The sequence below is a fragment of the Homo sapiens genome, chromosome 12, assembly GCF_000001405.40.
Source record: "Homo sapiens chromosome 12, GRCh38.p14 Primary Assembly".
NCBI classification, from domain to species: Eukaryota; Metazoa; Chordata; class Mammalia; order Primates; family Hominidae; genus Homo; species Homo sapiens.
Window position 1 is genome coordinate 104,262,167 of NC_000012.12, and position 27,803 is coordinate 104,289,969.

General features: G+C 45.1%; 1 protein-coding gene, 1 long non-coding RNA gene and 1 pseudogene across 8 annotated transcripts in view, besides 15 other annotated features; 2 read left to right on the forward strand and 1 right to left on the reverse strand.

The window, feature by feature from the left end:
- The window catches only part of TXNRD1 (thioredoxin reductase 1), a 134,529-nt gene that overhangs the window by 46,388 nt on the left and 60,338 nt on the right, over positions 1 to 27,803 (forward strand). For 2 of the 7 annotated variants that reach the window (NM_182729.3, NM_001261446.2), the window contains exons 1-2: positions 24,866 to 24,943; positions 26,765 to 26,874. Coding sequence is in view for 3 of the 7 variants with exons in the window: in NM_003330.4 (NP_003321.3) it covers positions 25,171 to 25,180; positions 26,765 to 26,874 (120 nt within the window). In the remaining 4 variants the exon portion in view is untranslated. Of the gene's footprint in view, positions 1 to 24,865; positions 25,266 to 26,764; positions 26,875 to 27,803 lie in introns of those variants that run through there. The other 5 variants (NM_001261445.2, NM_003330.4, NM_001093771.3 and 2 more) reach the window with 5 other exon arrangements.
- TXNRD1-AS1 (TXNRD1 antisense RNA 1) lies at positions 146 to 18,677 on the reverse strand. The gene is made up of 2 exons (XR_007063431.1): positions 18,118 to 18,677; positions 146 to 409 (listed from the first exon to the last, which is right to left on the reverse strand). It is a non-coding gene; the product is annotated as a TXNRD1 antisense RNA 1 (long non-coding RNA).
- Positions 3,103 to 3,726, forward strand: RPL18AP3 (ribosomal protein L18a pseudogene 3; annotated as a pseudogene).
- Positions 4,180 to 4,349: an enhancer, noted in NCBI's record as "experimental_23817 CRE fragment used in MPRA reporter constructs". NCBI's record gives its function as "activates a minimal promoter by MPRAs in K562 erythroleukemia cells, with activity observed for both the introgressed and non-introgressed 12:104660209 variant alleles {active_cell/tissue: K562}" and the evidence as "EXISTENCE:reporter gene assay evidence [ECO:0000049][PMID:34662402]".
- Positions 9,929 to 11,128: an enhancer, noted in NCBI's record as "CDK7 strongly-dependent group 2 enhancer chr12:104665873-104667072 (GRCh37/hg19 assembly coordinates)". NCBI's record gives its function as "activates an origin of replication core promoter dependent on BRD2, BRD4, P300/CBP, MED14 and CDK7 cofactors, with strong dependence on CDK7, by STARR-seq in HCT116 cells {active_cell/tissue: HCT116}" and the evidence as "EXISTENCE:reporter gene assay evidence [ECO:0000049][PMID:35650434]".
- Positions 12,171 to 12,340: an enhancer, noted in NCBI's record as "experimental_23822 CRE fragment used in MPRA reporter constructs". NCBI's record gives its function as "activates a minimal promoter by MPRAs in K562 erythroleukemia cells, with activity observed for the introgressed 12:104668200 variant allele {active_cell/tissue: K562}" and the evidence as "EXISTENCE:reporter gene assay evidence [ECO:0000049][PMID:34662402]".
- Positions 13,784 to 13,953: an enhancer, noted in NCBI's record as "experimental_23828 CRE fragment used in MPRA reporter constructs". NCBI's record gives its function as "activates a minimal promoter by MPRAs in K562 erythroleukemia cells, with activity observed for both the introgressed and non-introgressed 12:104669813 variant alleles {active_cell/tissue: K562}" and the evidence as "EXISTENCE:reporter gene assay evidence [ECO:0000049][PMID:34662402]".
- Positions 19,905 to 20,199: a silencer, noted in NCBI's record as "tiled region #5029; HepG2 Repressive non-DNase unmatched - State 23:Low, and K562 Repressive DNase matched - State 8:EnhW". NCBI's record gives its function as "represses a minimal TATA promoter and a strong SV40 promoter by Sharpr-MPRA in HepG2 and K562 cells {active_cell/tissue: HepG2 | K562}" and the evidence as "EXISTENCE:reporter gene assay evidence [ECO:0000049][PMID:27701403]".
- Positions 24,067 to 25,266: an enhancer, noted in NCBI's record as "P300/CBP strongly-dependent group 1 enhancer chr12:104680011-104681210 (GRCh37/hg19 assembly coordinates)". NCBI's record gives its function as "activates an origin of replication core promoter dependent on BRD2, BRD4, P300/CBP, MED14 and CDK7 cofactors, with strong dependence on P300/CBP, by STARR-seq in HCT116 cells {active_cell/tissue: HCT116}" and the evidence as "EXISTENCE:reporter gene assay evidence [ECO:0000049][PMID:35650434]".
- Positions 24,067 to 25,652: a biological region, named in NCBI's record as "P300/CBP strongly-dependent group 1 enhancer GRCh37_chr12:104680011-104681210".
- Positions 24,559 to 25,106: an enhancer, noted in NCBI's record as "NANOG-H3K27ac-H3K4me1 hESC enhancer chr12:104680503-104681050 (GRCh37/hg19 assembly coordinates)". NCBI's record gives its function as "activates a minimal SCP1, AML or CMV promoter by ChIP-STARR-seq in primed H9 embryonic stem cells {active_cell/tissue: H9 hESC(primed)}" and the evidence as "EXISTENCE:reporter gene assay evidence [ECO:0000049][PMID:30033119]".
- Positions 24,632 to 24,801: an enhancer, noted in NCBI's record as "experimental_23834 CRE fragment used in MPRA reporter constructs". NCBI's record gives its function as "activates a minimal promoter by MPRAs in K562 erythroleukemia cells, with activity observed for both the introgressed and non-introgressed 12:104680661 variant alleles {active_cell/tissue: K562}" and the evidence as "EXISTENCE:reporter gene assay evidence [ECO:0000049][PMID:34662402]".
- Positions 24,756 to 25,135: an enhancer, noted in NCBI's record as "active region_6906". NCBI's record gives its function as "activates an Ori minimal core promoter by ATAC-STARR-seq in GM12878 lymphoblastoid cells {active_cell/tissue: GM12878}" and the evidence as "EXISTENCE:reporter gene assay evidence [ECO:0000049][PMID:35858748]".
- Positions 25,107 to 25,652: an enhancer, noted in NCBI's record as "NANOG-H3K27ac-H3K4me1 hESC enhancer chr12:104681051-104681596 (GRCh37/hg19 assembly coordinates)". NCBI's record gives its function as "activates a minimal SCP1, AML or CMV promoter by ChIP-STARR-seq in primed H9 embryonic stem cells {active_cell/tissue: H9 hESC(primed)}" and the evidence as "EXISTENCE:reporter gene assay evidence [ECO:0000049][PMID:30033119]".
- Positions 25,246 to 25,315: an enhancer, noted in NCBI's record as "active region_6907". NCBI's record gives its function as "activates an Ori minimal core promoter by ATAC-STARR-seq in GM12878 lymphoblastoid cells {active_cell/tissue: GM12878}" and the evidence as "EXISTENCE:reporter gene assay evidence [ECO:0000049][PMID:35858748]".
- Positions 25,653 to 26,200: an enhancer, noted in NCBI's record as "H3K27ac hESC enhancer chr12:104681597-104682144 (GRCh37/hg19 assembly coordinates)". NCBI's record gives its function as "activates a minimal SCP1, AML or CMV promoter by ChIP-STARR-seq in primed H9 embryonic stem cells {active_cell/tissue: H9 hESC(primed)}" and the evidence as "EXISTENCE:reporter gene assay evidence [ECO:0000049][PMID:30033119]".
- Positions 26,201 to 26,746: an enhancer, noted in NCBI's record as "H3K27ac hESC enhancer chr12:104682145-104682690 (GRCh37/hg19 assembly coordinates)". NCBI's record gives its function as "activates a minimal SCP1, AML or CMV promoter by ChIP-STARR-seq in naive H9 embryonic stem cells {active_cell/tissue: H9 hESC(naive)}" and the evidence as "EXISTENCE:reporter gene assay evidence [ECO:0000049][PMID:30033119]".
- Positions 26,613 to 26,742: a silencer, noted in NCBI's record as "silent region_4792". NCBI's record gives its function as "represses an Ori minimal core promoter by ATAC-STARR-seq in GM12878 lymphoblastoid cells {active_cell/tissue: GM12878}" and the evidence as "EXISTENCE:reporter gene assay evidence [ECO:0000049][PMID:35858748]".

The window sequence follows — 27,803 nt, forward strand, 5'->3', positions numbered from 1 at the left end:
GGTTGCAGTGCGCTGAGATTGTGCCATTGCACTTCAGCCTGGGCAACAAGAGCAAGACTCTGTATTAAAAAAAAAAAAAAAAAAAAAAAAGACCAAGTTTGACACCCCGTTCTAAGGCAAGTAGGAAGCATGAATATTAACACAGTTTTGATTTTGTGAGATTTATTTGTCCCAAGCATAGGAGGAACACCGTTCTACATGTGCAGTTGGCCTTAGCCACACAGGAGAGGTGTGATCTGGTTCATGTCTTCGAGGAGCTTGTAATCATGGAGCTGGAACTGCTGATGCAGTCTTCTAAGTGCTGGTTTCATGAATAAACACCTCCTTTATCTGTTTCTTCTGGGTTCCAAAAGAACCCTCCATAGGCATGATTTTCACACCAGTGTTGGCTACGTAATCTTCCCAGGGCCTGGATCATAGTGGGTATTTAAAAAGTCAGAAGATCAATTGGTAGACAGGAGTATTTGGCATAGAATCACATGGGTGCATTTATTCATTCAGCATATTTATTGAGTGCCTGCTGTGCACTAGGCTCTGTATACTAAGCACTGGGAATACAGTAGTATACTAGGCAGGTGTGCTTCCTGTCTAAAGGAATTAGACTTGTTTGTGTTTTTTTTTTCTTTTTTTTCCCAGCAAATTCCTTTTATTTTCCTTTAGAGTTGAGGGCCTGTGTACTGCCTAACTGGATTGGTAATGGAGTGAGTGCCCCATGAATTCCTGTGTTTGCAATAGTATCACCTCTCACAGAAAATCAAGAAGAGAAGTTGTGCTACCAGGGGATCCTCTCTCTTCACCCTAACATTTTCTTCTTCCTTCTTTTGGCTGTATTTTGGCCAGTCTACATAAATTAAGGTTATTATTTGAAAACAACCATCAGGGTCCACTGAGTTCTACTGAGATTGGTATTGGAGAGAGAAACTCAGAACCGGGAGGCCTGGCATTCATGTCCTGTGTGTAGGTAGTGGTAGTAGTCATACATGCTATCCTCCTTGTGCCAGAGGCTCATGCATGTTCTCCTATTTAATCTTCAGAATACCACCAATCAGGTAGGTGGTGATATCACCTTCTTATGATGAGGAAATAAAAACATAGTAAAGTATTAGTATACAGGGTGGCTGGCTTTCTAGTGAACCTACTGGCAATTCGTGGCCCCTCCCACTACTTCCTGAGACTATCTCGTAGAACCTTCCATGACTTGCCCCCAGTGTCTTATGTATAATGTTCATGGTGTCGATATCATGATAGGTGTTCCTAGATGTGATGGTGTCTGTTGCACACACATGTGGTGGTGTGTTTGGTGGCAGAGGTTGTACAATCTGCCACCATGCCAGCTACACACATCTTGGCTATCCCTGTGGATGAGCTGCCACTCACAGGGCCTGTTGATTTACAAAGACTTGTATCTATACTTCAGGTGTCTTCCTAGGAGCTTTGATCTAAGGAACAGACAACATCAGTGTAATCATCTTAATTTGGTCTGGCAGCTGCTGACATTCTATAGCTATAAATGTGGAAAACAGACATAAGATTTCAGGAGTTTGCCAAAAGTGTGCATCTGGATGCCACATGTCACTAGCTTAGGGGTTCTGATGTGTATTATTCATGTCTCCTGGCTGCTTATGGAGGACATGGCTTTAATGCCTTCAGCAAGAGGGAGAGGAACTAATATTTGAGTTTCTTTTTATGGCAGTGTCTCATATCTCTCTTACTTAATCCTCACAACAGCTTTGTGTGGTTGTTGGAATTAATTCTGTTGTTGTGAGGAAGCAGATGCTCAGCATTTGAATAACTTGCTCAATGTTGCTGTGTCAAGCCCAGGCCTGTCTGCTTCCCTAGTTGCCTCTTTGGCATTGTTTTCCTTGAACAAATAAAAACCCCTCACAAGCAGAGGTACCCTAGCTAGCTCAGTTCTCACCACTTTGGTATTGATACTTACTCATTCAACAGATTTGCTTTGGGCACCTATTTATATGCCAAGCACTGGCAGGAGAGAAAAGATGAGTAAGGCACAACCTCATTCTTTAAGATCATTTTACTTGTTTGCCTCTGCCTCACTTCCAATTTCAGTGTAATCTGGTATCTCTAAAGGCTGTAGGATCACGGGTGGACAAAGGTAGTGGGTAAGACATTTAAAGCTGTAAACAAAAGCAACTTAGAAAACATCATGGCATGTTCATTTAGAGCAAAACTGGCAAGGCCTGGGGCAGAGAACGATGAGAGGTTAAGAGTTGAAAAGTAAAGAGGCTTTCTCCCATAGCGAATGAGGAGACATGGGAGGTTGTTCTATTTATTTTATGAATGAGGCTCAAAATATTCTTTAAGCATTTTGGTTTTGTCTATAAAAATGTTAATTTTTTTAAATTTGGAGACCACAGTATAATAAAATACAAAAAATCACATATAATTGCATCCAGAGATAGCCACTATTAATATTTTATGTCTTTTTTGTAAACTCTGTTCTGTTTTATTATTTAATATTTTACATGTTATATAAGTTCTTAATTTTCTCAATGACTACAAAATAGTCCATGTATTTACTTAGCCATTCTACTATATTTGGACAGTCTATTGCCAATTTTTTGCTATTGTGGAATAATAGGTTAGAAATGTTTTTCTTTGTACGTGAAGTTTTTGCTGTATTTAGAATTATTTTCTTAGGATAGATTACTGGAATGGATTTATGGGTCAGAGTATGAACAATTCTAAGGTTCTAGAGCCCTTTAAATGGTGTGTACTAATTAATAACTTCATAAGCTCAAAGAGTTCCCTGTACTTAGTAGTAAGAAATAATAATAGGTTTTGGGCCAGGTGCAGTGGCTCCTGCCTGTAATTCCAGTGTTTTGGGAGGCTGAGGCAGGCAGATCATGAGGTCAAGAGATCAATACTAGCCTGGCCAACATGGTGAAACCCCGTCTCTACTAAAAATACAAAAATTAGCTGGGCGTGGTGGCATGCGCCTGTAGTCCCAACTACTTGGGAGGCTGAGGCAGGAGAATCGCTTGAACCCGGGAGGTGGAGGTTGCAGTGAGCTGAGATCACACCACTGCACTCCAGCCTGGTGACAGAGTGAGACTCCGTCTTAAAAAAAAAAAAAAAAAAACTTCCTTTTGCGGGTGGCGGCGAACGCGGAGAGCACGCCATGAAGGCCTCGGGCACGCTACGAGAGTACAAGGTAGTGGGTCGCTGCCTGCCCACCCCCAAATGCCACACGCCGCCCCTCTACCGCATGCGAATCTTTGCGCCTAATCATGTCGTCGCCAAGTCCCGCTTCTGGTACTTTGTATCTCAGTTAAAGAAGATGAAGAAGTCTTCAGGGGAGATTGTCTACTGTGGGCAGGTGTTTGAGAAGTCCCCCCTGCGGGTGAAGAACTTCAGGATCTGGCTGCGCTATGACTCCCGGAGCGGCACCCACAACATGTACCGGGAATACCGGGACCTGACCACCGCAGGCGCTGTCACCCAGTGCTACCGAGACATGGGTGCCCGGCACCGCGCCCGAGCCCACTCCATTCAGATCATGAAGGTGGAGGAGATCGCGGCCAGCAAGTGCCGCCGGCCGGCTGTCAAGCAGTTCCACGACTCCAAGATCAAGTTCCCGCTGCCCCACCGGGTCCTGCGCCGTCAGCACAAGCCACGCTTCACCACCAAGAGGCCCAACACCTTCTTCTAGGTGCAGGGCCCTCGTCCGGGTGTGCCCCAAATAAACTCAGGAACGCCCCGGTGGAAAAAAAAAAAAAAAAAAAGTGATCTGGCTGGACAAACTGAGCCAGTCCCACACAAAATCTTAAAAAAAAAAAAAGAAAAGAAATAATAATAGGTTTTTAAAAATCATTATTTGCCTATTGGAGAGGTAAAAACAGATTTCTTTATCTTAATTTGTATCACTTTGATTATTAATGAGGCACAATATTTTTTCCTGTATGTTGTATTTCCTATGTGTACCTTGCTGGGCTCAGGTGGTCCTCCCACCTTAGCCTTCCAAGTAGCTGGGACTATCTAAATTGTAGTCACTGTGTTGTATTTCATTATCTGAATTGCCTGTTCATTTTCCTCATGGGATAATAATACTAGGAAGAGCCCCGGTGCGGTGGCTTACGCCTGTAATCCCAGTACTTTGGGAGGCTAAGGTGAGTGGATCACGAGGTGGGGAGATCGAGACCATCCTGGCCAACATGGTAAAACCCTGTCTCTACTAAGAATACAAAAATTAGCTGGGCATGGTGACGCATGCTTGTAGTCCTACCTACTAGGGAGGCTGAGGTAGGAGAATCGCTTGAACCCGGGAGGTGGAGGTTGCAGTGAGTTGAGATCACGCCACTGCACTCCAGTCTGGTGACAGAGCGAGAATTCATCTCAAAAAAAAAAAAAAAAAAAATTAGTTGGCTGGGCGTGGCGGCTCACGACTGTAATCCCAGCACTTTGTGAGGCCGAGGCAAGCGGATCACAAGGTCAGGAGATCAAGACCATCCTGGCTAACACGGTGAAACCCTGTCTCTACTAAAAATACAACAGGGCCGGGCGCGGTGGCTCACGCCTGTACTCCTAGCACTTTGGGAGGCCGAGGCGAGCGGATCACGAGGTCAGGAGATCAAGACCATCTGGCTAACAGGGTGAAACCCCGTCTCTACTAAAAACACAAAAAATTAGCCGGGCGTGTTGGCGGGCACCTGTAGTCCCAGCAACTCGGGAGGTTGAGGCAGGAGAATGGTGTGAACCCGGGAGGCGGAGCTTGCAATAAGCCAAGATCGAGCCACTGCACTCCAGCCCAGGCGACAGAGCGAGACTCCGTCTCAAAAATAAATAAATAAAATAAAATAAAATAAAAATAAAAAATAAAAATACAACAAATTAGCCAGGCCTGGTGGCGGGCACCTGTAGTCCAGCTACTTGGGAGGCTGAGGCAGGAGAATGGCCTGAACCCGGGAGGCAGAACTTGCAGTGAGCCGAGATCGCGCCACTGCACTCTAGCCTGGGCAACAGAGTGAGACTCCCTCTCAAAAAAAAAAAAAAATAATATAATAATTAATAATAATAGGAAGAAACCTTTATATATAGCTCTTTATTTTCTTTTCTCTTTCTTTCTTTCTTTCTTTCTTTCTTTCTTTCTTTCTTTCCTCTTTCTGTCTGTCTGTCTGTCTTGCTCTATTGCCCAGGCTATAGTGCAGTGGTATGATCTTGGCTCACTGCAGCCTTGAACTCCTGGCTTCATGCAATCCTCCCACCTCAGCCTCCCGAGTAGATGGGAGTACAGGTATGTGCCACCATACCCAGCTAATTTTTGTATTTTCTGTAGAGCTGGAGTCTCATGAGCCACCATGCCCAGCCTGCCTTACTTCTTCCTTTCCTTCTTTCCTTTCCTTTCCTTTCTTTCTTTTTTCTGAGACTATCCCGTAGAACCTTCCATGACCTGCCCCACCTGTCTTATGTATAATGTTCATGGTGTTGATATCATGATAGGTGTTCCTAGATGTGATGGTATCTTTCTTTCTTTCTTTCTTTCTTTCTTTCTTTCTTTCTTTCTTTCTTTCTTTCTCTCTTTCTTTCTTTCTTTCTCTTTCTTTCTTTCCTTTCTTCCTTCCTTCCTTCCTCCCTCCCTTCCCTTTCCTTCCCTTCCCTCCTTCCTTCCTTCTTTCCTTCCTTCCTTCCTTCCCTCCCTCCCTCCTTCCCTCCTTCCTTCCTCTCTCTCTTTTTTTTTTTGAGACTGAGTTTTGCTCTTGTTGCCCTGGCTGGAGTGCAATGGCGTAATCTGGGCTCACTGCAACCTCCATCTCCCGGGTTCAAACAATTCTCCTGCCTCAGCCTCCTGAGTAGCTGGGATTACAGGCACCTGCCACCACGCCAGGCTAATTTTTTATATTTTTAGTAGAGACAGGGTTTCATCATGTTGTCCAGGCTGGTCTCAAACTCCTGACCTCAGGTAATCCACCTACCTACCTTGGCCTCCCAAAGTGCTGGGATTACAGGTGTGAGCCACTTGGACCCGGCCCCTTCCTCTTTCTCTCTGTCTCTCTCTTTCTTTCTTTTATTTTTTATTTTTATTTTTTGAAATGGAGTATCACTGGCTGGGTGCGGTGGCTCACGCCTGTAATCCCAGCACTTTGGGAGGCTGAGGTGGGCTGATCACGAGGTCAGGAGATGGAGACCATCCTGGCTAACATGGTAAAACCCCGTCTCTACTAAAAATACAAAAAAAAAACCCACCCATATTAGCCGGGCATGGTGGCAGGCGCCTGTAGTCCCAGCTACTCCGGAGGGTGAGGCAGGAGAGTGGCGTGAACCCGAGAGGCTGAGCTTGCAGAGAGCTGAGATCGCGCCACTGCACTCTAGCCTGGGTGACAGAGCGAGACTCCGTCTCAAAAAAAAAGAAAGAAAGAGAGTATCACTCTGTCCCCAGGCTGGAGTACAGTGGCACGATCTCGGCTCACTGCAAACTCTGCCTCCCAGGTTCAAGCAATTATCCTGCCTCAGCCTCCTGAGTAGCTGAGACTACAGGCTGCACTACCACGCCTGGCTAATTTTGTATTTTTAGTAGAGACGGAGTTTCACCACATTGGCCAGGCTGGTCTCGAACTCCTGACCTCATGTAATCCACCCGCCTTGGCCTCTCAAAGTGATGGGATTACAGTCGTGAGCCACCGCACCTGGCGTACAGTAGAGCTTCTTTCAAAACTGGAACCAATCCTCTCAAACCCTGCCACTGCTTATCAATTAAATTTATGTCATATTATAAATCCGTTGTTGTCATTTCTTTTTTTTTTTTTTTTTTGAGATAGAGTCTCACTCTTTTTGCCCAGGCACTATCTCAACTCACTGCAACCTCTGCCTCTCGGGTTCAAGTGATTCTCCTGCCTCAGCCTACTGGGTAGCTGGGATTACAGGCGCCTGCCACCATGCCTGGCTAATTTTTGTATTTTTAGTAGAGATGGGGTTTCTCCATGTTGGCCAGGCTGGTCTCAAACTCCTGACCTGAGGTAATCTGGCCCGCCTGGCCTCCCAAAGTGCTGGGATTATAGGCGTGAACCACTGTGCCCAGCCCTTGTTGTCATTTCAACAATGTTCACAGCATCTTCATCAGGAGTAGATTCTATTTCTAGAAAAACATTATTTGCTCATCCATAAAAAGCAGCTCCTCATCCATTCAAATTTTACATGAGATTACATTAATTCAGTCATGTCATCAGACTCTATTTTTTGTGGGTTCTTTTTTTCTTCTTTTTCTGTGTTTCTTTCTTTTTTTTTTTTTTTTTTGAGACAGGGTTTCACTCTGCCACCCAGGCTGTGCTGCAGTGATGTAGTCATGGCTCACTGTGGCCTCAACCTCCCGGGCTCAAGTGATCCTCCTGCCTCAGCCTCTCAAGTACTTGGGACTACAGGCACATGCTACCACACCTAGCTAATTTTTGTTGTTGTTGTTGTTGAGATGGAGTCTTGCTCTGTCCCCAGGCTGGAGTGCAGTGGCGCGATCTCGGCTCACAGTAACCTCTGCCTCCCAGGTTCAAGCAATTCTCCTGCCTCAACCTCCCAAGTAGCTGGGACTACAGGCACGCGACACCATGCCCAGCTAATTTTTTTTGTATTTTTAGTAGAGACAGGGTTTTATCATGTTGGCCAGGATGGTCTCGATCTCCTGACCTCGTGATCCGCCTGCCTTGTCCTCCCAAAGTGCTGGGATGACAGGTGTGAGCCCCCGCGCCCAGCCCACCCAGCTAATTTTTAATTTTTTTTGTAGAGACAGGGTCCCACTATGTTGCCCAGGCTAGTCTTGAATTCCTGAGCTCAAGCAATCCTACGTTGGCCTCCCAAAGTGCTAGGATTATAGATGTGCACCACCATGCCTGGCCTTCTCTTCTAATTCTATTTCTCTTGTTATTTCCACCATATCTTCAGTTACTTCCTCCACTGAAGTCTTGAATTCATCAAAGTTACTCATAAGGGTTGGAATCACCTTCTTCCAAACTCCTGTTAATGTTGATATATTATTGACTTCTTCCCATGAATCATGAATGTTCTGAATGGCATCTAGAATAGTGAATCTTTTCCAGAAGGTTTTCAGCTTACTTTGCCCAGATCTGTCAGAGGAATCACTGTCTATGGCAGCTATAGCCTTATAAAATATATTTCTTAAATAATAAGACTTGAAAGTCAAAATTAATCCTTTATCCCTGGGCTGCAGAATGGATTTTGTTAGTAGTCATGAAAACAACATTCATCTCCTTGTACATCTCCATCAGATCTCTTGAGTGACCACATGCACTGTCAATGAGCAGTAATATTTTCAAAAGTCTTCTTTTCTGAGCAATAGGTCTCAACAGTGGGCTTAAAATAAACCAAGTTGTAAACAGATGTGCTGTCATTCAGGCTTTGTTGTTCCATTTCTAAAGCAAAGGCAGAGTAGATTTATCATAATTCTTAAGGGCCCTAGGATTTTCATTGTAAGTCCATTTGTCTCCTGTTTAAATCATAAGTATAGAAACACCTTAATATGGCCATTATTTGATAGTAGTGACATGGAAAATACTTTGCCATCTTAGAAAGGGCAATGACTAAATACTGGCCTAATGTATGTTTTTCCTCCGAGAAGGAGGAAAGCCACTTAATGGTCAACATTGAATCCTGTCAAGCAGAGTAGGAGGCAATATAGCCTCCTTTATAGCAATACAGCCTCAGGATATTCCTGAGATTATTGAAAGATTAACTAGCCGGGTGTGGTGGCTCACGCCTATAATCCCAGTACTTTGGGAGGCCGAGGGGGGTGGATCACCTGAGGTCAGGAGTTTGAGACCAGCCTGGCCAACATGGTGAAACCCTGTCTCTGCTAAAAATACAAAAAAATTAGCCGGGTGTGGTGGTGCAAGCCTGTAATCTCAGCTACTCAGTTTCACGTGCATCCGTGTGAAAAGACCACCAAACAGGCTTTGTGTGAGCAACAAGCCTGTTTATTTCACCTGGGTGCAGGCAGGCTGAGTCAGAAAAGAGAGTCAGCAAAGGGTGGTGGGATTATCATTAGTTCTTTCTTTTTTTTTTTTTTTTTTGTGAGACGGAGTCTCGCTCTGTCGCCCAGGCTAGAGTGCAGTGGTGCGATCTGGGCTCACTGCAAGCTCCGCCTCCCAGGTTCATGCCATTCTCCTGCCTCAGCCTCCTGAGTTTCTGGGACTACAGGTGCCCGCCACTAATTTTTTGTGTTTTTTTAGTAGAGACGGGGTTTCACCGTGTTAGCCAGGATGGTCTCGATCTCCTGACCTCGTGATCTGCCCGCCTTAGCCTCCCAAAGTGCTGGGATTACAGGCATGAGCCACCACACCTGGCCATATCATTAAATGTTCTTATAGGTTTTGGGATAGGCGGTGGAGTTAGGAGCAATGTTTTGTGGGCAGGGGATGGATCTCACAAAGTACATTCTCAAGGGTGGGGAGAATTACAAAGAACCTTCTTAAGGGTCAGGGAGATTACAAAGTACATTGATCAGTCAGGGTGGGGCAGAAACAAATCACAATGGTGGAATGTCATCAGTTAAGGCTATTTTCACTTCTTTTGTGGATCTTCAGTTGCTTCAGGCCATCTGGATGTATACGTGCAGGTCACAGGGGATATGATGGTTTAGCTTGGGCTCAGAGGCCTGACACTCATGAGGCAGAGGTTGCAGTAAGCCAAGATCACATCAATGCACTCCAGCCTGAGCAACAGAGCGAGACTCCATCTCAAAAAAAAAAAAAGTAGAAGAAAGAAAGATGTATTTGGATTCACTTTAAGAAAGAGCAAATAAGCATTTAGGGCCAGGCGCGGTGACTCACCCCTGTAATCCCAGTGGCCAACATGGTGAATCCCTGTCTCTACTAAAAATACAAAAATTAGCCAGGCATGGTGGCGAGTGCCTGTAATCCCAGCTACTCTGGAGGCTGATGTTATAAGTAAAGTTTCGGTGCCGCAAAAGAAATAGCACTGGAATATAAAGTTTTCTTTTGAATTCTCAGCAAGGCAAGTTACTTCTATAGAAGGGTGCGCCCTTACAGACGGAGCAATGGTGAGCACACACTTCGATAAGGGAGAGGAAGGGGTTCTTATCCCTGACACACGTGGCCCCTGCTGCTGTGTCTTTCCCCTATTGGCTAAGGTTAGATCGCAAAGGCTAAACATTCCAATTCACTAATTTAAAGAGAGGGACAGGGTGAGTGGTTTGGTGGGAAAAATCATTATGACAGAGCAGGTAATCGGAATGAGTCAGGGTGGGGTAGGTAATCGGAATGACTTAAGGGTGGAGCAGATAATCGGAATGAGTCAGAGTGGAGTAGGTACTCGAAAAGGTTGCTTTACGAGGAAGTTAAGTTTAAAAGTAGAAGGCAAAAGTCCCGGCGCTGTGGCTCACGCCTGCAATCCCAGTACTTTGGGAGGCCAAGGCGAGCAGATCACGAGGTCAGGAGATCAAGACCATCCTGGCTATGGTGAAACCCAGTCTCTACTAAAAATACAAAAAAATTAGCTGGGCGTGGTGGCGGGCGCCTGTAGTCCCAGCTACTCGGGAGGCTGAGGCAGGAGAATGGCATGAACCTGGGAGGCGGAGCTTGCAGTGAGCCCAGATCGCACCACTGCACTCTAGCCTGGGCAACAGAGTGAGACTCCACCTAAAAAAAAAAAAAGAAAAGAAAAAAAAGTAGAAGGCAAAGAATTGAACATACTGACATATTGATTCTTTGAAAAGAAATTTAGAACTCATATCTAACACTGAGGCAGGAGAATTGCTTGAACCTGGGAGGCAGAGGTTGCAGTGAGCCAAGATCACATCATTGCACTCCAGCCTGGGTGACAAGAGTGAGACTCCATCTCAAAAAAAAAAGCATTTAAAATCTATAGATAATTTTCAGTCTCCGGCTGCGGCTGCGAAAGAAGCCGCCATGTCTGCATATCTGCAACGGGTGGTTGGCACTGCTCCAGTTTCCTGATCAAGAGGAATAAGCAGACCTACAGCACCATGCCCAATAACTTGAAGGCCTGCAACTGCTTCCACTACAATGGGCTTATTCAACGCAAGACTGTGGGCGTGGAGCCGGCAGCCCACGGCAAAGGTTTCATAGTTGTGAAGCAGAGATCCAGCCAGTGGAAGCCTGCCACCTTCTACATGCAGACCACCATTAACAAGAATGCTCGGGCAGGGCGGGGTGGCTCAGGCCTGTAATCCCAGCACTAATGGGAGGCGGAGGTGGGTGGATCACAAGGTCAGGAGTTCGAGACCAGCCTGGCCAACGTAGTGAAACCCCGTCTGTAATAAAAATACAAAAATTAGCCAGGCATGGTGGTGCGCGCCTATAGTCCCAGCTACTCAGGAGGCTGAGGCAGGAGAATCGCTTGAACCCAGGAGGCAGAGGTTGTGGTGAGCCGAGATTGCGTCACTGCACTCCAGTCTGGGCAACAGAGTGAGAATCCATCTCAAAAGAACAAACATACAAACAACAGAAAAAAACAAGAATGCTCGCGCCACCCTCAGCAGCATCAGACACAGGATCCTCAAGAGCAAGTACCGCCCCGACCTGCGCGTGGCAGCCTTCTGCAGGCCAGCGCCATCCTGCACATCCAGAAGCCTGTGATGGTGAAGAAAGAGGAAGAGGATTAGAAAACCTGCCCCCAAAGCAATAGTCAGCTGGCTTTCTCAAAAACAAAAACATGAATCAAGAGGTCAGGAGATCCAGACCATCCTGGCTAACACGGTGCAACCCTGTCTCTACTAAAAATACAAAATGTAGCCAGGCGTGGTGGCGGGCACCTGTAGTCCCAGCTACTTGGGAGGCTAAGACAGGAGAATGGTGTGAGTTCTCCGGGAGGTGGAGTTGCAGTGAGCCGAGATAGTGACACTGCACTCCAGCCTGGGCGACAGAGCGAGACTCCATCTCAAAAACAAAACAAAACAAAACAAACAAAAAACAAAAAATCTATAGATAAAGGAATTCAGATATATACTGGTGGAGAACTATAAGGTTCTCATCTGTCTTTGGGGTGGAGAAATTGGTCTGAATGCCTCTTAATGAGACATAGGTCACTCTCAATTCAAACCAGGGCCTAGAGCATTAGAAAGATCCAAGGCTCCTTCAGGCCCAGCTCCATGAAGTGACCATAGCTTTCCATTAACGACTGGTAGCCATCAACTGTCTCGGGCTTCTGGGATTTTGGCTCTCAGAGAAATTAGAGGGGGATGTTCTTCTCAAGATCAACTATCTAATAGTGTTTAAGAATTTAGAGGTTAATAATAATAAGCTGCCGGGCACGGTGGCTCACGCCTGTAATCCTAGCACTTTGGGAGGCCGAGGCGGGTGGATCGCCTGAGTTCAGGAGTTCGAGAACAGCCTGGGCAACACGGTGAAACCCTGTCTCTAATAAAATACAAAAAAAAATTAGCTGGGCGTGGCAGCGTGCACCTGTAGTCCCAGCTACTCGGTAGGCTGAGGCAGGAGAATTGCTTGAACCCGGGAGGCAGAGGTTGCAGTGAGCCAAGATCATGCCACTGCACTCCAGCCTGGGTAACAGAGTGAGACTCCATCTCAAAAAAAAAAAATTAATAATAAAAAAAATAATAATAATAAGCTATATGGCACTTCTTTCATCTTAGGTTCTAATAGCTGTTTACCACTACTAATTAGTATGTAACTCCTTGGCTGGTGGTGAGGGTGGTTGATCTGCACTTTTATGAGATGAAACATCTGAGAGTTGACTGGAATGGAGCCTGTACCTCTTGAGGTACTTCTGGTCAGTGGTTTTCTACCTGAAAACTTTTTCTTTCCTCTAAGATTGAAATGGGACACTGAGCGACCAAAAGCAAATGGATTGCAGAAGGGAAATATTCTGCATGTACTAGCATGTGCATATTACGCATGTGTGTACATGTAATGCAGAATGCAGGCACTAATTTTTAAAGAGGTTTTTCATGTTCCTTTCACTCCTTTTAGCAAGTTGTTTAAGAAAATTATGTTTTTCTAGCCAGGTGTGGTGGCGCATGCCTGTAATCCCAGCTACTCGGGTGGCTGAGGCAGGAGAACCACTTGAACCCAGGAGGCAGAGGTTGCAGTGAGCTGAGATCGCACCATTGCACTCCAGCCTGGGCAACAAGAGCCAAACTCCATCTCAAAAAAAAAAGAAAATTATGTTTTTCTTCTTCTGGCAAGAAAAGACAAGCTCTGGGTAATGAGAATATATGCACTGCGGAAAATGGCATGCTTAGCCACAGACTGCTTGCTAATTAAAAGTAAAATGAAAAAATGAATGTGCTACTCCAGGCTGGAGTGCAATGGTGCAATCTCGGCTCACTGCAACCTCTGCCTCCCAGGTTCAAGCGATTCTCCTGCCTCAGCCTCCTGAGTAGCTGGGATTACAGGCATGCACCACCATGCCTGGCTAATTTTGTATTTTTAGTAGAGAAGGGGTTTCTCCGTGTTGGTCAGGCTGGTCTCGAACTCCTGACCTCAGGTAATCCACCGGCCTTAGCCTCCCAAAATGCTGGGATTACAGGCATGAGCCACTGCACCCAGCCTTGAGTTAAGTTTTGATCGGTGTCCACTGTAATGCTTTGTTGACAGTTACTGTGAATGACCAACCTGTAAAAGGGGAAAATCCAAACTTCTAACCACACTGAGGTCATCATGGATTTATACCATGCATGAGGACATAATGATTATAATAACTAAGCTATTGAGTCTTTTACATCTATTTACATCCTTTACATCTATTTACTCATCTCGTTTTCCACAATCACCACATGAAGTGTAGATACTGTATTTATCACCATTTTATAGATGAGTAAACAAAGGCACAGAGAGGTAACAGAAGTTGCCTAAGGGCACACAGTTTGCCAGCAGAAAAGCCAGGTTACGTGATTTCATTGCGGGCTCTTATAACTATTGAGCTATACTGCTTGTTAGTAGAACGCCAGATGATGCTATGGGATTAGCCCAGAGATTTACAAAAGAGGAGACCTGGGCACATTTGAAGGCGGAATGGCTTAAACGGCCCTGAATACAAGATAGGAAGAGGATGTTGAAGAAAGGTGGGGTCCCCTAAGACCACTTGGAATTGGGATAGGTTATAGGTTGTAGTGCTCTGGTAAAGGCGAGCTTTAGCAGAGGTAGAACAATCCTTATTCTTCTGAGGTTGCAGTGACATGTAAGTATAGAGAGCTGCTGGGAAGAGAAGACAGAGAAGTGAAAGTAACTTGTACCTGACGACTTGAGCCTTTGGGCAGTGTGCTGGAGCTGGCTCGTACCAGCTCAAGAGACCCCTTGTTAAACATCAAGGAATTTTGCAAGTAGGTTGGTAGCTTGAAATTAGCCAAAGTGGGAGTATTCAACTCCAGAAATTAGCAAATACTACAAATCAGGGCCTCCCCACCACCACTCAGAACTGGTTTACCAGAACACCTTACACTCCCTTTCTTCTCTTTTCCACTTCACTAACAGTCAAAAGCCTGCTGAAGTGCCAGTTGAATTTGAAGCTTGAGTGAGTGCCCATTATGGGAAAGGCACTGTGCCAGATGCCAGGGTAAGAAAGACCAACCCCTCAAGTAAATAATACTGTGGTGGAGAGTGAAGAGCATGCAGGCGTAAATCCTGGACTAGCTGTCGGCTCTTGGGACAGTCACTTAAACTTGGGTTACTCATCTGTAAATGGAGATAATAATATATATCCCAAAGGGTTATTGAGATGACTGAGAACATGTAAAGTTCCTGGCACAGAGGTGTTCATTAAGTGATGGTTCTAAGAGTGGGGACATGTAAACAGATGTCTTTCATATAGCTTGATATAAGAAATAAAGATGGGAGCCGGGCACAGTGGCTCATGCCTATAATCCCAGCACTTTGGGAGGCTGAGGTGAGAGGACTGCTTGAGCCCAGGAGTTTGATACCAGCCTGGGCAACAAAGCGAGACCCTGTCTCTACAAAACATTTTTTTAAATGAAGCATAGGCCGGGTGCGGTGGCTCATGACTGTAATCCCAGCACTTGGGGAGGCCGAGGCGGGTGGATCACAAGATCGGGAGATCAAGACCATCCTGGCTAATGCGGTGAAACCCCGTCTCTACTAAAAATACAAAAAAAAAAAAAAATTAGCTGGGTGTGGTGGCGGGCGCCTATAGTACCAGCTACTAGGGAGGCTGAGGCAGGAGAATGACATGAACCCGGGAGGCGGAGCTTGCAGTGAGCTGAGATCGCGCCACTGCACTCCAGCCTGGGCAACAAAGTAAGACTCTGTCTCAAAAAAAAAAAAAAAATTAGTCAGGCACGGTAGTGTGTGCCTCTGGCCAGCTACTTGGGAAGCTGAGGCATGAGGATCATTTAAACCCAGGAGTTTGAGGCTGTGGTGAGCTATGATTGTGCCACTGCACTCCAGCCTGGATGACAGAGCAAGATTCTGTCTCCAAAAAACAAACAAATAAACAAAAGAAATAAAGACAGAATGACTACAGGTCATAGTCCCCTCAGTAGATTCCAGAGTTTTCAGGGTGGATGATTCATGGATGATTTTCCTTGTTTGTTATCAGAAGGTTACCGGGGTTTTTTTTTTGTCCCTACAAATCAAGTTTACCGGATTTACTTGTTGTTTTTACCGGTTTTTAGCCTGTTCCTCACTCTATATTATTTAATTGTAAGACAAACAATGGATTTGGAGGTAGGCACAGTTGGATTTATATACCAGCTCCAACACTTACCTGGTTTGTGACCTTTGGCAAGATTCTTTTTTTTTTTTTTTGAGACGAAGTCTCACTCTGTCACCCAGGCTGGAGTGCAGTGGCGTGATCTTGGTTCACTGCAACCTCCGCCTCCCGGGTTCACTCCATTCTCCTGCCTCACCCTCCCGAGTAGCTGAGACTACAGGCGCCTACAACCACGCCCGGCTAATTTTTTTGTATTTTTAGTAGAGAGGGGGTTTCATCGTGTTAGCTGGGATGGTCTTGATCTCCTGACCTTCTGATCCACCCGCCTCAGCCTCCCAAAGTGCTGGGATTACAGGTGTGAGCCACCATGCCTGGCCTCTGATCAAATTCTTTTTTTTTTTTTTTTTTTTTTTTTTTTTGAGACGGAGTCTTGCTCTGTCGCCCAGGCTGGAGTGCAGTGGCGTGATCTCGGCTCACTGCAAGCTCCACCTCCCCGGTCCACGCCTTTTTCCTGCCTCAGCCTCCCGAGTAGCTGGGACTACAGGCGCCCACCCCCAAGCCTGGCTAATTTTTTGCGTTTTTAGTAGAGACGGGTTTCACCATTTTAGCCAGGACGGTCTCGATCTCCTGACCTCGTGATCCGCCCGCCTTGGCCTCCCAAAGTGCTGGGATTACAGGCTTGAGCCATTGCGCCCAGCCTAATTTTTTTTTTTTTTTTTTGAGATGGAGTCTCACTCTGTCACCCAGGCTGGAGTGCAGTGGTGCCGTCTTGGCTCACTGCAACCTCCACCTCCCGGGTTCAAGCAGTTCTCCTGCCTCAGCCTCCTGAGTAGCTGGGACTATAGGTGCACGCCACCACACCTGGCTACTTTTTTGTATTTTTAGTAGAGACAGGGTTTCACCACGTTGGCCAGGCTGGTCTTGATCTCCTGACCTCGTGATCCGCCCGCCTCGGCCTCCCAAAGTGTTGGGATTACAGGCGTGAGCCACCGCACCCAGCCTCTGATCAAATTCTTAAAGGCCAAATTACCTTTATAAAACTGAGGACCCCCTAACATTTACCTTGTAAAAGCTTTTTTTTCTCCTTTTCTCTGTGAAAAAGATGGAATATACAAATTAACTAAGTAATATCTGCATTTTTACAGATTTAATCTCTCAACAATTATTTATTGATCAATTACTATGTGTGCATACTATATTAAGTGCTGGGAACATGATGGTGAGCATAACTAATCCTGGTCCCTGCTCACATGTGGCTATGTACATCTATATTAATTAAACTTAAATAACATTAGAACTTCACATCCACACCTGTACTAGCCATCTTTTATGTACTTAATAGTCACATGTGGTGAGTGGCTATTGGGTTGGACAGTGTAGATTTAGAATATTTTCATCACCACAGAAAGTCCTCTTGGACTGTGCTATTCTAGAGTGAGGGAGGTGGACATTGATCAAATACTCATAAAAGTATGATTGCAATTGTAGTAAGTACTAGGCAGAAAGAATAGATGGTAACATGAGAACATTTCATAGGGGGATTTGACTTCTCTGTTGGTTTTCCCAAGGAAAACCTGTTCAAACTAGATTTGCTCAATGCTTGGAAGTTAGCAAAGCCCTGTGGTGGGAGGGAGGACAGTAATTACAGGGACTGAAAGCAAGCTAATGACTGAATCATGGGGATTGAGGAGAAGTTTGGGTGAGATGAAGGGGTGGAAGGACCACAAAGGGCCTTGTAGAAAGAAGATGAAGAAGCAGAGAGGCTTAGTAACTTGGCTTTGCAGTTAGTAATAGAACCTGGATTTGACTTCAAAGTCTACACTGCATAATAAGGGTATATTCAACAGACTTTGGTTCTGCAATTATCTCTTTTTGCTCCTTCTTTGGAAATTGCCAAAGTTCCCTCTACTGGATTATTCCTTTAGCATAAAAACATGCTGTAATAATTTCCTTCTTAGACAAACCAAAAAAACCAAAAAGTCTGGCCAGGCACGGTGGCTCACCCCTGTAATCCCAGCACTTTGGGAGGCCGAGGAGGGTGGATCACGAAGTCAGGAGTTGAAGACCAGCCTGGCCAACATGGTGAAACCCTCTCTCTACTGAAAATACAAAAATTAGCTGGGTGTGGTGGCATGCACCTGTAGTCCCAGCTACTCGAGAGGCTGAGGCAGGAGAATTGCTTGAACCCAGGAGGCAGAGGTTGCAATGAGCTGAGATCGTGCCTCTGCACTCCAGCCTGGGTGACAGAGTGAGACTCTGTCTCAAAAAAAAAAAAAAAAAAAAATTCCTCTATCCTACATCCCTCTTTAGCTCCTTTCCTATTGTTGTTTTGTTTTGTTTTGTTTTTATAGCAAAACCCCTTTAAGAGTTGCCTATACTTACTCCCTCCATTTCCTTATTTTCTGTTTCTTGCTGAACTTCTTCTAATTAGGATTTCTTACCTACCACCATTTTCATAAGTGACCTCCATGACTCAGCCCTTACCTTATAGGATTTCTTGGCAGTGCTTGAAATAGTTGATCTTCCTTTTTGGAGCACTTCTTCATTGGCTTCTGAGACACCACACAGTCTTGGTTTTCCTCCTACCTCCTGCCAGCTCCTTCTTAGGCTCCATTGCTGGGTTCTTTTCCCCTTTTGCAGTTTGAGCGTGCCAGGGCTCTGTCCTGGGCCATCTTTATTTCTCTAAATACATTAACTCCTGGGTAATTTCATCTAGTCCCATGGAGTGACAGTTAATTTTATGTGTCAACTTGGCTAGCATACGGTGCCCAGTTGTTTGGCAGATAAAAGCATAGATGTTGCTGTGAAGGTATTTTTTAGATGTGACTTACAATGAAATCAGTAGGCTTTGAGTAAAGCTAGTGACCCTCCATAATGTGGATGGGCTTCATCCAATTAGTTGAAGACCTTAGAGAAAAGATGGAGGTTTCCCAAAGAGGAAGCAATTCTGCACCCAGACCACCGTTAGTCTCAAGATTGCCACATCAATGCCTGCTTGAATTTCCAGCCTATCAGCCAGCCTTGGAGTTTTCAGACTTATCAGCCCTCACAACTGTGTGAGTCAATTCTTTAAAAAAAAGAAAAGAAAAAAATCTCTCTATATATACATGTATCCTATTGGTTCTGTTTCTCTGAAGAGCTGTGACTAATACACATGGTATTAAATATCTTTTATGTTTGACACCAAATGTTTATTTCTAGCCTTGACTTCTCCCTTGAACTCCATACTTACATATCCAACTGCTTAGTCAACCTCTCCATTTGGATAATAATAGATCTGTTAACCCATACTATGGATTTGTCCCAAACTATTGTTTTCCCCCACCTCCCATCTTTCTTCCTCCTCTCTGGGTGTTCCTGCTTTTCATTGAAGAGTGCTATTATTTACCCCATTGCTAAAGCCAGAAATCTAGCGTTATCATTGATTCTCTTTCTCTTACATCTCTTATTCCATCCATCTGTACAACTGTACAACATATATCTGTGCAATTAGCTTTACCTTCAAATGTATTTTTTAACCTCACTAATCAGCCTTTATCATCTCTAGCTTGGACCAGGACAGTAACTTCCTAGCAGGTCTGTATATCTCCATATCTCCACTTTTTTTTTTTTTTTTTTTCTTTTTGAGATGGAGTCTCACTGTGTCGCCCGGGCTGGAGTGCAGTGGTGGGATCTCGGCTCACTGCAAACTCCGCCTCCCGGGTTCACGCCATTCTCCTGCCTCAGCCTCCCCAGTAGCTGGGACTACAGGCGCCTGCTACCACGCCCGGTTAATTTTTTGTATTTTTAGTAGAGATGGGGTTTCACTGTGTTAGCCAGGCTCATCTCAATCTCCTGACCTCGTGATCCGCCCGCCTCAGCCTCCTGAAGTGCTGGGATTACAGACATGAGCCACCGAGCCCGGCCATATCTCCACTTTTAAGTCCCTGCCCTCCTTAGCCTATTTTCCACACAACTGAGCAATTATTTTATCATACAACAATCATTTCCTTCTCTTCTCTTCACACTCTGGCATCTTACCACATTTAAAATGAAATCCAAAATCCTGACTATGGCCTGATGATGGATGTGACCCCTGGCTATTCCTCTGACCTCACTTCCTACCACTTTTTTTCTCACTCATTAGGCTTTAGACATACTGGTTACTTTGTGGATTCTTGGATAAGTCAAGCAGACTCCTAGCTTAGGGCTTTAGTATGTTGAAGCCAGAATAAAAATGTGAGACAAGTCTCTAAATTAAAATTTTTTATTTGGAAAGAAAGAATAGCAATTTGGGGCATATATGCAGACAGGGTGGTCTTCAGTATGTCTGAAGAACAAAGAGAAGGTTAGAGGTTTTAGAAACAGGAGAGCTGTTACATATTGCTCTTCAAGAAAGTTCTTTGGGACTAGTTAGGGTTTGGGGAGCTAGCAAGCTCTGGTGAGTGATGGCAGTGGGCAAAATTAGTCCTAGAGTTTCAGCAAGTTCTCTTAGCATTTATAGATAAAGCTGGTCTCAGGTTACAACAGGCAGTTTCAGCAGTCAGGCTTGCAGAGAATTACATTCTTGGAGCAATGTTTTGTACCCTGAGTGCTTTTCCCCCTAGCCCCTTGGCTCTGATTTAATTGGGAATGACAAGAATGACCCAATTTTATGATCAGCTTTCACAAGTACCTCCTCTTTCCTCTGCTTAGAAAGATTTCTTCCCTAGGTACTCTCATGGCCTGTTCCCTCATAGCACTGTGGGCTCTGCTCAAGCATCACATTCTGAGATCTTTCCTGACTTCCCTACCCTACTTTATTCTTCTTCAAGGTACAAAGAACTCTTTCAGAAAAGCTTTGTGTGTGTGTGTGAAGGAGAGCAATGAAATGGGGTGGTGGTAACTGCAAGGGTTGGGGCACATGGGATCATGAGAGCCTTTTCTTTCTTTTTGGGAACAGTTTTGCTCTGTCATCCAGGCTGAAGAGCAGTGGCATGATCATGGCTTACTGCAGCCTCAAACTCCTGGGCTCAAGTGATCCTCCCACCTCAGCTTTCCAAGTAGCTAGGACTACAGGCAGGTACCACCACACCTGGCTGACTTTTATAATTTTTTTTGTAGAGACAAGGTCTTGCTATGTTGTACACACTAGTCTTGAACTGCTGGCCTGAAGCAATCCTCCTGCCTCAGCCTCCCAACATGCTGGGATTACAAGTGTAAGTTACTGCACCAGGTCGGGAGGCTTTTTTAAAATGGTAAAACAACAATGCATTTGTATGATGATGTAAATGATCAGGTAGAGAACAAGCAATTGATGATGCCAGAGAGGGAGGCTAACTTCAAGAGTGATGTTCATTAATATTAAGAAGGAAATAAAAGATGAGAATCCATACACAAGTGAAGTTGGACTTCACTATTCTCCACATAACAGCAATTCTTTGAATGTACAACAATCATTTCCTTCTCTTCTCTTCACACTGTCTTTTTTGTTTTTGTTTTTGTTTTTTTGAGACGGAGTCTTGCTCTTGTTGTCCAGGCTGGAGTACAATGGCATGATCTCGGCTCACCGCAACTTCCGTCTCCTGGGTTCAAGCGATTCTCCTGCCTCAACCTCCTGAGTAGCTGAGATTACAGGCGCCCACCACCATGCCCAGCTAATTTTTGTATTTTTAGTAGAGACGGGGTTTCACCATGTTGGCCAGGCTGGCCTCGCACTCCTGACCTCGTAATCCACCTGCCTCCGCCTCCCAAAGTGTTGGGATTTCAGCCGTGAGCCATTGCACCCGGCCTCACACTCTGGCTTCTTAACACATTTAAAATGAAATCCAGGCTGGGTGCAGTGGCTCACACCTGTAATCCCAGCACTTTGGGAGGCCGAGGCAGGCGGATCACCTGTAGTTGGGAGTTGGAGGCCAGCCTGACCAACATGGAGAAACCCCGTCTATACTAAAAATACAAAATTAGCCAGGCGTGGTGGCACATGCCTATAATCCCATCTACTCAGGAGGCTGAGGCAGGAGAATCACTGGAACCTGAGAGGCGGAGGCTGCGGTGAGCCGAGATAGTGCCATTGCCCTCCAGCCAGGGCAACAAGAACAAAACTCTCTCTCTCAAAATAAATAAATAAATAAAAATAAAATGAAATCCAAAATCCTGACTGTGGCCTGATAATGGGTCTGACCTCTGGCTACTCCTGACTTCACTACCTACCACTTTTTTTCTCATCAGGAAATAATAAGAGTGAAGGCAGAGAATATGGCAGCTTGCTGGTTAAGGGAGTTCTGTCTGATTGATGCTATTTTCTTAAAGTAGAAAGTAGGTCATGAGCTAATGCAAGGTGTAGGGGCATTAGAAGTTTGAGGAAAGAGGGATACGTGTGAAATGGTCATTTTGGATCCTGAGAAAACAAATATTCCAGGGATGCAAAGGATTGCTGGGCAACCTTGAGGATACATTTGAAGTTTGTGGTCTTAACTTTAAAGTGAAATCACTTTTAATTTCTGTGTTTCCTTCAGCAATGTTTCCTGCTTTAAGTGGAGTACAGAATATGTGGACAGCTAGGTTCAGCAAGGGTGGGCCTTGCCATGTCAACGCGACTGAGAAGCTTGGACTTCATATTGAGGGCCCTAGAGAGCTACTGAAGGTTTGAGTAAAGAAGATTTAGGTGTTAGAAAGATCATTCTAGCTCAGTATGGTGTGTGTGTGTGTATGAGAGAAAGGCTTATTATAGGTAGAACAGTAGTTTAATACAATAGGAGCCTTTATCAAACACCTGCATAAATTTGTTATAGCTTAGATGACAGTTCAGGAACATAGAGAGGTCTATTTCCAGCATTTTCTGAGTACCTACTATATACCAGATTCTGTAAAGACAAAATAAACAAGGGTTTGCCTATCCAAAGCTCTTGTAGAAGATTTGTAATTATTATTAGGTATTTGGGGGACAAAGAAGAGGGAAGGAGCAATTAACACTGGGTGAAAATCCAGGAAGACTCCCAGAGGAGGTGACATTTCAGATGAGCTTTGAAGGACTAGGCCCTTAGGGAGGGAAGATAATTCTGAAAAGGAAGAATGAGCCCAGTCAAGAGATGCGAAATGTATGATTAAAACATTTTATGTTTATGATTTGCTACGGCCAGGCACAGTGGCTCACACCTGTAATCCCAGCACTTTGGGAGGCTGAAGCAGACGGATCCCTTGAGGCTAGGAGTTTGACCATCCTGGCCAACGTGTTGAAACCCCATTTCTACTAAAAATACAAAAAATTAGCCAGGTGTGGTGGTGCATGCCTGTAGTCCCAGCTACTTGGGAGGCTGAGGCATGAGAATCGCTGGAAGCAGGGAGGTGGAGGTTGCAGTGAGCTGAGATGCGCCACTGCACTCCAGCCAGAGCAACAGAGCAAGAGACTGTCAAACAAACAAACAAACAAACAAATAAATAAATAAATTGCTGCATGATGAGAAATGGTGGAAGAAGATGAGGTTCTTCTTCCATTAACCAGCAACTAAATAGAACTAAGGAGTTTTTCCTCTAGAATTCACGACAAGGGTAAGGCATCTGGGCTCTTAACAGCAGCAAGAAGGATTTGAAAGAAAAGAAGATGGTTTTAAAATGGTGATTTTAATTTAAAGAAAAATAACTACATGGTGCTACTCTGGGCATCTTTGCTATAATTTGCTCACTTAGGAACAATGTGAAGTTAAAATGCCTTATCTAGCCTGTTTTGGAATGCCGTTAGAAAATATTAATTATAATCACTCTGAGCTGTCTATACAAGATGCTTTTAATGGCAAGCCTCTTCAAATCAATCCTTATTACTTGCTTTTAGTACATTATTTCAAGTTAAATGATCCTTCTGTGTCCTAAGTCATGCTTTTGAAATAAGGTGTATTTTCAATATATTTCTAAGAATGAGGAGTTTATGACCCTGGTTCATGGGTCATTCGGTAGACTAAATGAGATAAAGGCATATAAAATTATTAATACAGAACTTGGCTTGGGAGCCAGGAGTAAATGTTTTTTGTTCTCCCTTAGACCCAGTCTTTTCATGTTTTTCCTTCTTTCCTCCTTAAATCACATTGTTTCCTCAACACCCACGTACTAGATCCATTCTCTGTTCTAGGGACTCCAGAATCAGGTGAAACACTCATGTCAATAATCAAACACTCATGTCAATAATCACCTTACAGGGGAAGTGTCAAGTTAGTGTGTGTAGTGTGTGTGTGTGCCCATTTAGAGGGTGAAGAAGCTAAATCAAGCCTCTGAGTTTCACCTTGGAAGGGCCTGGCAGGACCTGGCAGTGGTTGCCTGTTTGTTTAGAGGGAGTGTGGCTTCTGCTGGCTGTTAGGAGCCCGCAACGCTCTCAGCTGAGAGTGCTTCAATCTGGCATTATCCAAAGAAGTGGGAAAGACATTCCTTCCTTCCTTCCTTCATTCAGTTATTATGTATTTATTCAGCAAATATTCATAGCCTGCTAGTGCACAGTGCTGAATAAGAACATGAGTAAGAGCAGGGAAGCATGAGAGAGCATGGCTCACCTTAGTAGCTGCAGGTGGCTGGGTGCAGCTGGAGTTAAAAGACACTCTGAGTTTTTCTTAAAAAAAACAATAAATACCAAACTTAGAATCTAATAAGGAAGAGGTGCTCTCAGGGGAAGTTAGGTGTGTTCCTAAGAATTTGTCATTTCTTTTCAGGATTAGTCAGGATGAACTAGACATTTCTTTTCAAAAGCCTAATAACTTCCTTTAGGGAACTGCCAAACTGACTAATCCATGACCTTAAGGCAGTGGGTCCCAAACTTTGCTGCCAACTCAATCACCTTTGGAGTTTTTTTTTTTTTTTTAAACGCAGAGGCCCAGGTCACACTCCACACCAATGACATCAGAATGTCTAGGGGTGGGAGCCAGGCACCAGGATTCTAAAGACCCTCACGTGATGACAACAGCTAGCAAAGTTCTGTAGCTACTGCCTTAGGGCATAGTCTAATTTCTTCAGTAAAAACACACTTATTCCAAATTTGGTTCCAGAATTGCCTTAAATTGTTTTTGCTCTGTTCTTAGGTTGGGGGCGGCTATGAGCAGGCAGAGGATGTGGTGTCACCCAATTAGGAGCTCTCAGCTTACGAGGCAATTAGCATAGGTTGCCAGGGCTGCACGAGGAGTGGATTTCTGCTTTGTCATTCTGACTCTGGCAGTTAGCCCGCCCGCTCGGCGCAGGGCGTGGCTTCTCGTAGCCATTAGGAAACAGCAACCCTTTCACCTCAGTTTTCTTCACTCCGGCATTTGCAGCAGAGCGAAAGGTGGTCGAGTCCTGAAGGAGGGCCTGATGTCTTCATCATTCTCAAATTCTTGTAAGCTCTGCGTCGGGTGAAACCAGACAAAGCCGCGAGCCCAGGGATGGGAGCACGCGGGGGACGGCCTGCCGGCGGGGACGACAGCATTGCGCCTGGGTGCAGCAGTGTGCGTCTCGGGGAAGGGAAGATATTTTAAGGCGTGTCTGAGCAGACGGGGAGGCTTTTCCAAACCCAGGCAGCTTCGTGGCGTGTGCGGTTTCGACCCGGTCACACAAAGCTTCAGCATGTCATGTGGTAGGTGAGGCCGGCGCCTGTAGGCTGGCGGTTTCCTTCCTCTTGGTCTTTGTAGAGACAGTTTGCAGAACAGCGGAGAAAATGGGTATTGTATCGTTTCTTACAGAGTCCGAGTCTTGAAATGTAGATGACAATGTGTTGAGTGGACTGACAGATCCTTGAGAATATTAAGAAAGTATAACTATGTAAGAATGCTTCTCTAGGAATTTTCACACCATTTAATCCTCAGAAATCCTGAGACGTTGGCAAAACACATGGGGTCTCCATGTTTTTACAAGTAGGGAAAGCAAGGCTCAGAAAGATCAAGTGGCGTGCCCAGCTGGACACAGACTATTAAATGGGGCGGCGACGACGACCCCAGGGCTTCCTCACTCTCTCAGGCAGTACAGGACAGTGATTAAACGCGTCGACCACATTGCCTGGGTTTGAATCCTGCCGCTGCTTTTGAGTAGCTCCTTGAGCTTGGACAAGTTTCTTAGCTTTTCTGTACCTGTTTCCCTGTCTGTAAGTTGGGCCTGGTAATACTTACTTGTAGAGTGGTTGTGAAGTTGAAATGTAAATATATGTGAAGCAGTATAGACATGTTAGCTACTATTATTACAATTAAGCAGCTATACTTTGTTTTTTGTTTTTTGTTGGTTTTTTTTGTTTGTTTGTTTTTTGAGACGGAGTCTCATTCTGTCGCCCAGGCTGGAGTGCAGTGGCACGATCTGGGCTCACTGCAACCTTCGCCCCCTGGGTTCAAGCGATTCTCCTGCCTCAGCCTCCTGAGTAGCTGGGATTACAGGCACCTGCCACCGCGCCCGACTAATTTTTGTATTTTTAGTAGAGACAGGGTTTCACCATCTTGGCCAGGCTGGTCTTGAACTCCTGACCTCATGATCCACCCGCCTCGGCCTCCCAAATAAGCAGCTATACTTTTGAATGTTGGCGTGATTTATGTCTAATGAATAGGCCTCATGTCAGTGTAACTGTGGAATCTGTATGTTCCACTGAGTTCACCCCTTTGTGAAATTTTACCATTAGTGCCTAGTTTCATCTGTAGCGTTGTGTATTGCTTCAGGATTCTTTTTAAGAATGCACCAGGTAGGCAGAGTGTTCTTAATTTTGCTCCACGGTTTCAAATGTCAAGGAAACGTTGGAAGTTGGATTTTGGCATTCAGTATAGATGCAGAGTTGAAAGCAAGATCAAACTGGGAGGTGTTTTGTGAAAGTTGAGATAAACGTGTATTAAGCTTCTTTTTTGAAGCTTTTCTGAATTCGGGATTTACCGGGAAAGTAGGACGTTTAATTTTAGCGGAGTAGTGCAATGATTTAACCCTGACTAGAACTCTGACGTTTACAGCTAGCCTTGAGGCCATGTTTTCAGCCAGTGTGCGGATTTGCCGGGGTCAGACTCCAAGCTTGATTGTGAGTTCTAGCCTTTGTCAGAAATGCAGCAAGTCATGCTAACTTGCAAGGGAGTCAACAGAGGGCACGCGGTGCCTGCGGGGCCGGGACGGAAGCCCCGCCCCCGGCGCAGTTCCCGCCTGTTAGCGGGGGAGAAGCACCTTACACGCTCCGCTCTGCTTTTGTGCCACACAGAGGACGGTCGGGCCCTGGAAGGAACGCTCTCGGAATTGGCCGCGGAAACCGATCTGCCCGTTGTGTTTGTGAAACAGAGAAAGATAGGCGGCCATGGTCCAACCTTGAAGGTAGGAGAGAGTAACGTATCTTTTTAAACGGGGGATGAGCTCGTTGAGCTCAGCGTGGTCACAGCCTGCCTTTTAAAGCCAGCGTGGATGTGACCCTCCAAACGGGACGCAGCGCTGGGAAATGACGAAAAACGCTCGTGGGCTAGCGCATGTGTTAATCGAAGTTGATGAGACGTTGGACAAATTTCACATCTCGGGAAACTTGAAATTTCTAACGCTTTTTATCTTTTAAAATAGCTTTTTAAAAATGTCCTTTTTCTCCTATTTCCCCTTCCTCTTTCCCTCCCAGTTGTAAATAACATTTTTTAGCAGCAATGTAATCTGCTAAATGTTAGTTGTTTAGGGAAGTCCTGAGAAAAGGGGATCAGGAAATGCTTATCTTTGTCATCAAGGTGGCCCTGTAATCTTCCTCTTAATTCTCTCAGGGGTAGGGGACCCGGAAACCCCAGGGTCTGGAGGAGAGCAACCAGGAAGCTCTTGGGGTGACTTCGTTTTCCTTCAGGTGTGTCTTTTTAGCCCAGAGTTAATAGTTGGGTGAAGGGAAAGGAAGAAGTCTTCCCTTTGGCTGGTAGCAAACGCAGTAGAAATCCTTCCTTAGACCTATGCTACTGAGGAGTTATAGCCACTGAGGGATTTATAGCCTACAGTGTTAGAAAAATGCTTGGAGGCTGGGTGTATGTATGTTTTATTTATGTATTTAAAAAAAAAAAACAGTCTTGCTCTGTCACCCAGAGTGCACTGGAGTGCAGTGGCGTGATCTTGTATCACTGCAACCTCCACCTCCTGGGTTCAAGCAATTCTCCTGCCTCAGCCTCCCGAGTAGCTGAGATTACAGGTGCCCGCCACTACACCCAGCTTCACCATGCTGGCCAGGCTGGTCTCAAACTCCTGACCTCAGATGATCCACGGCTGGGTGCATGTTTAAGGGA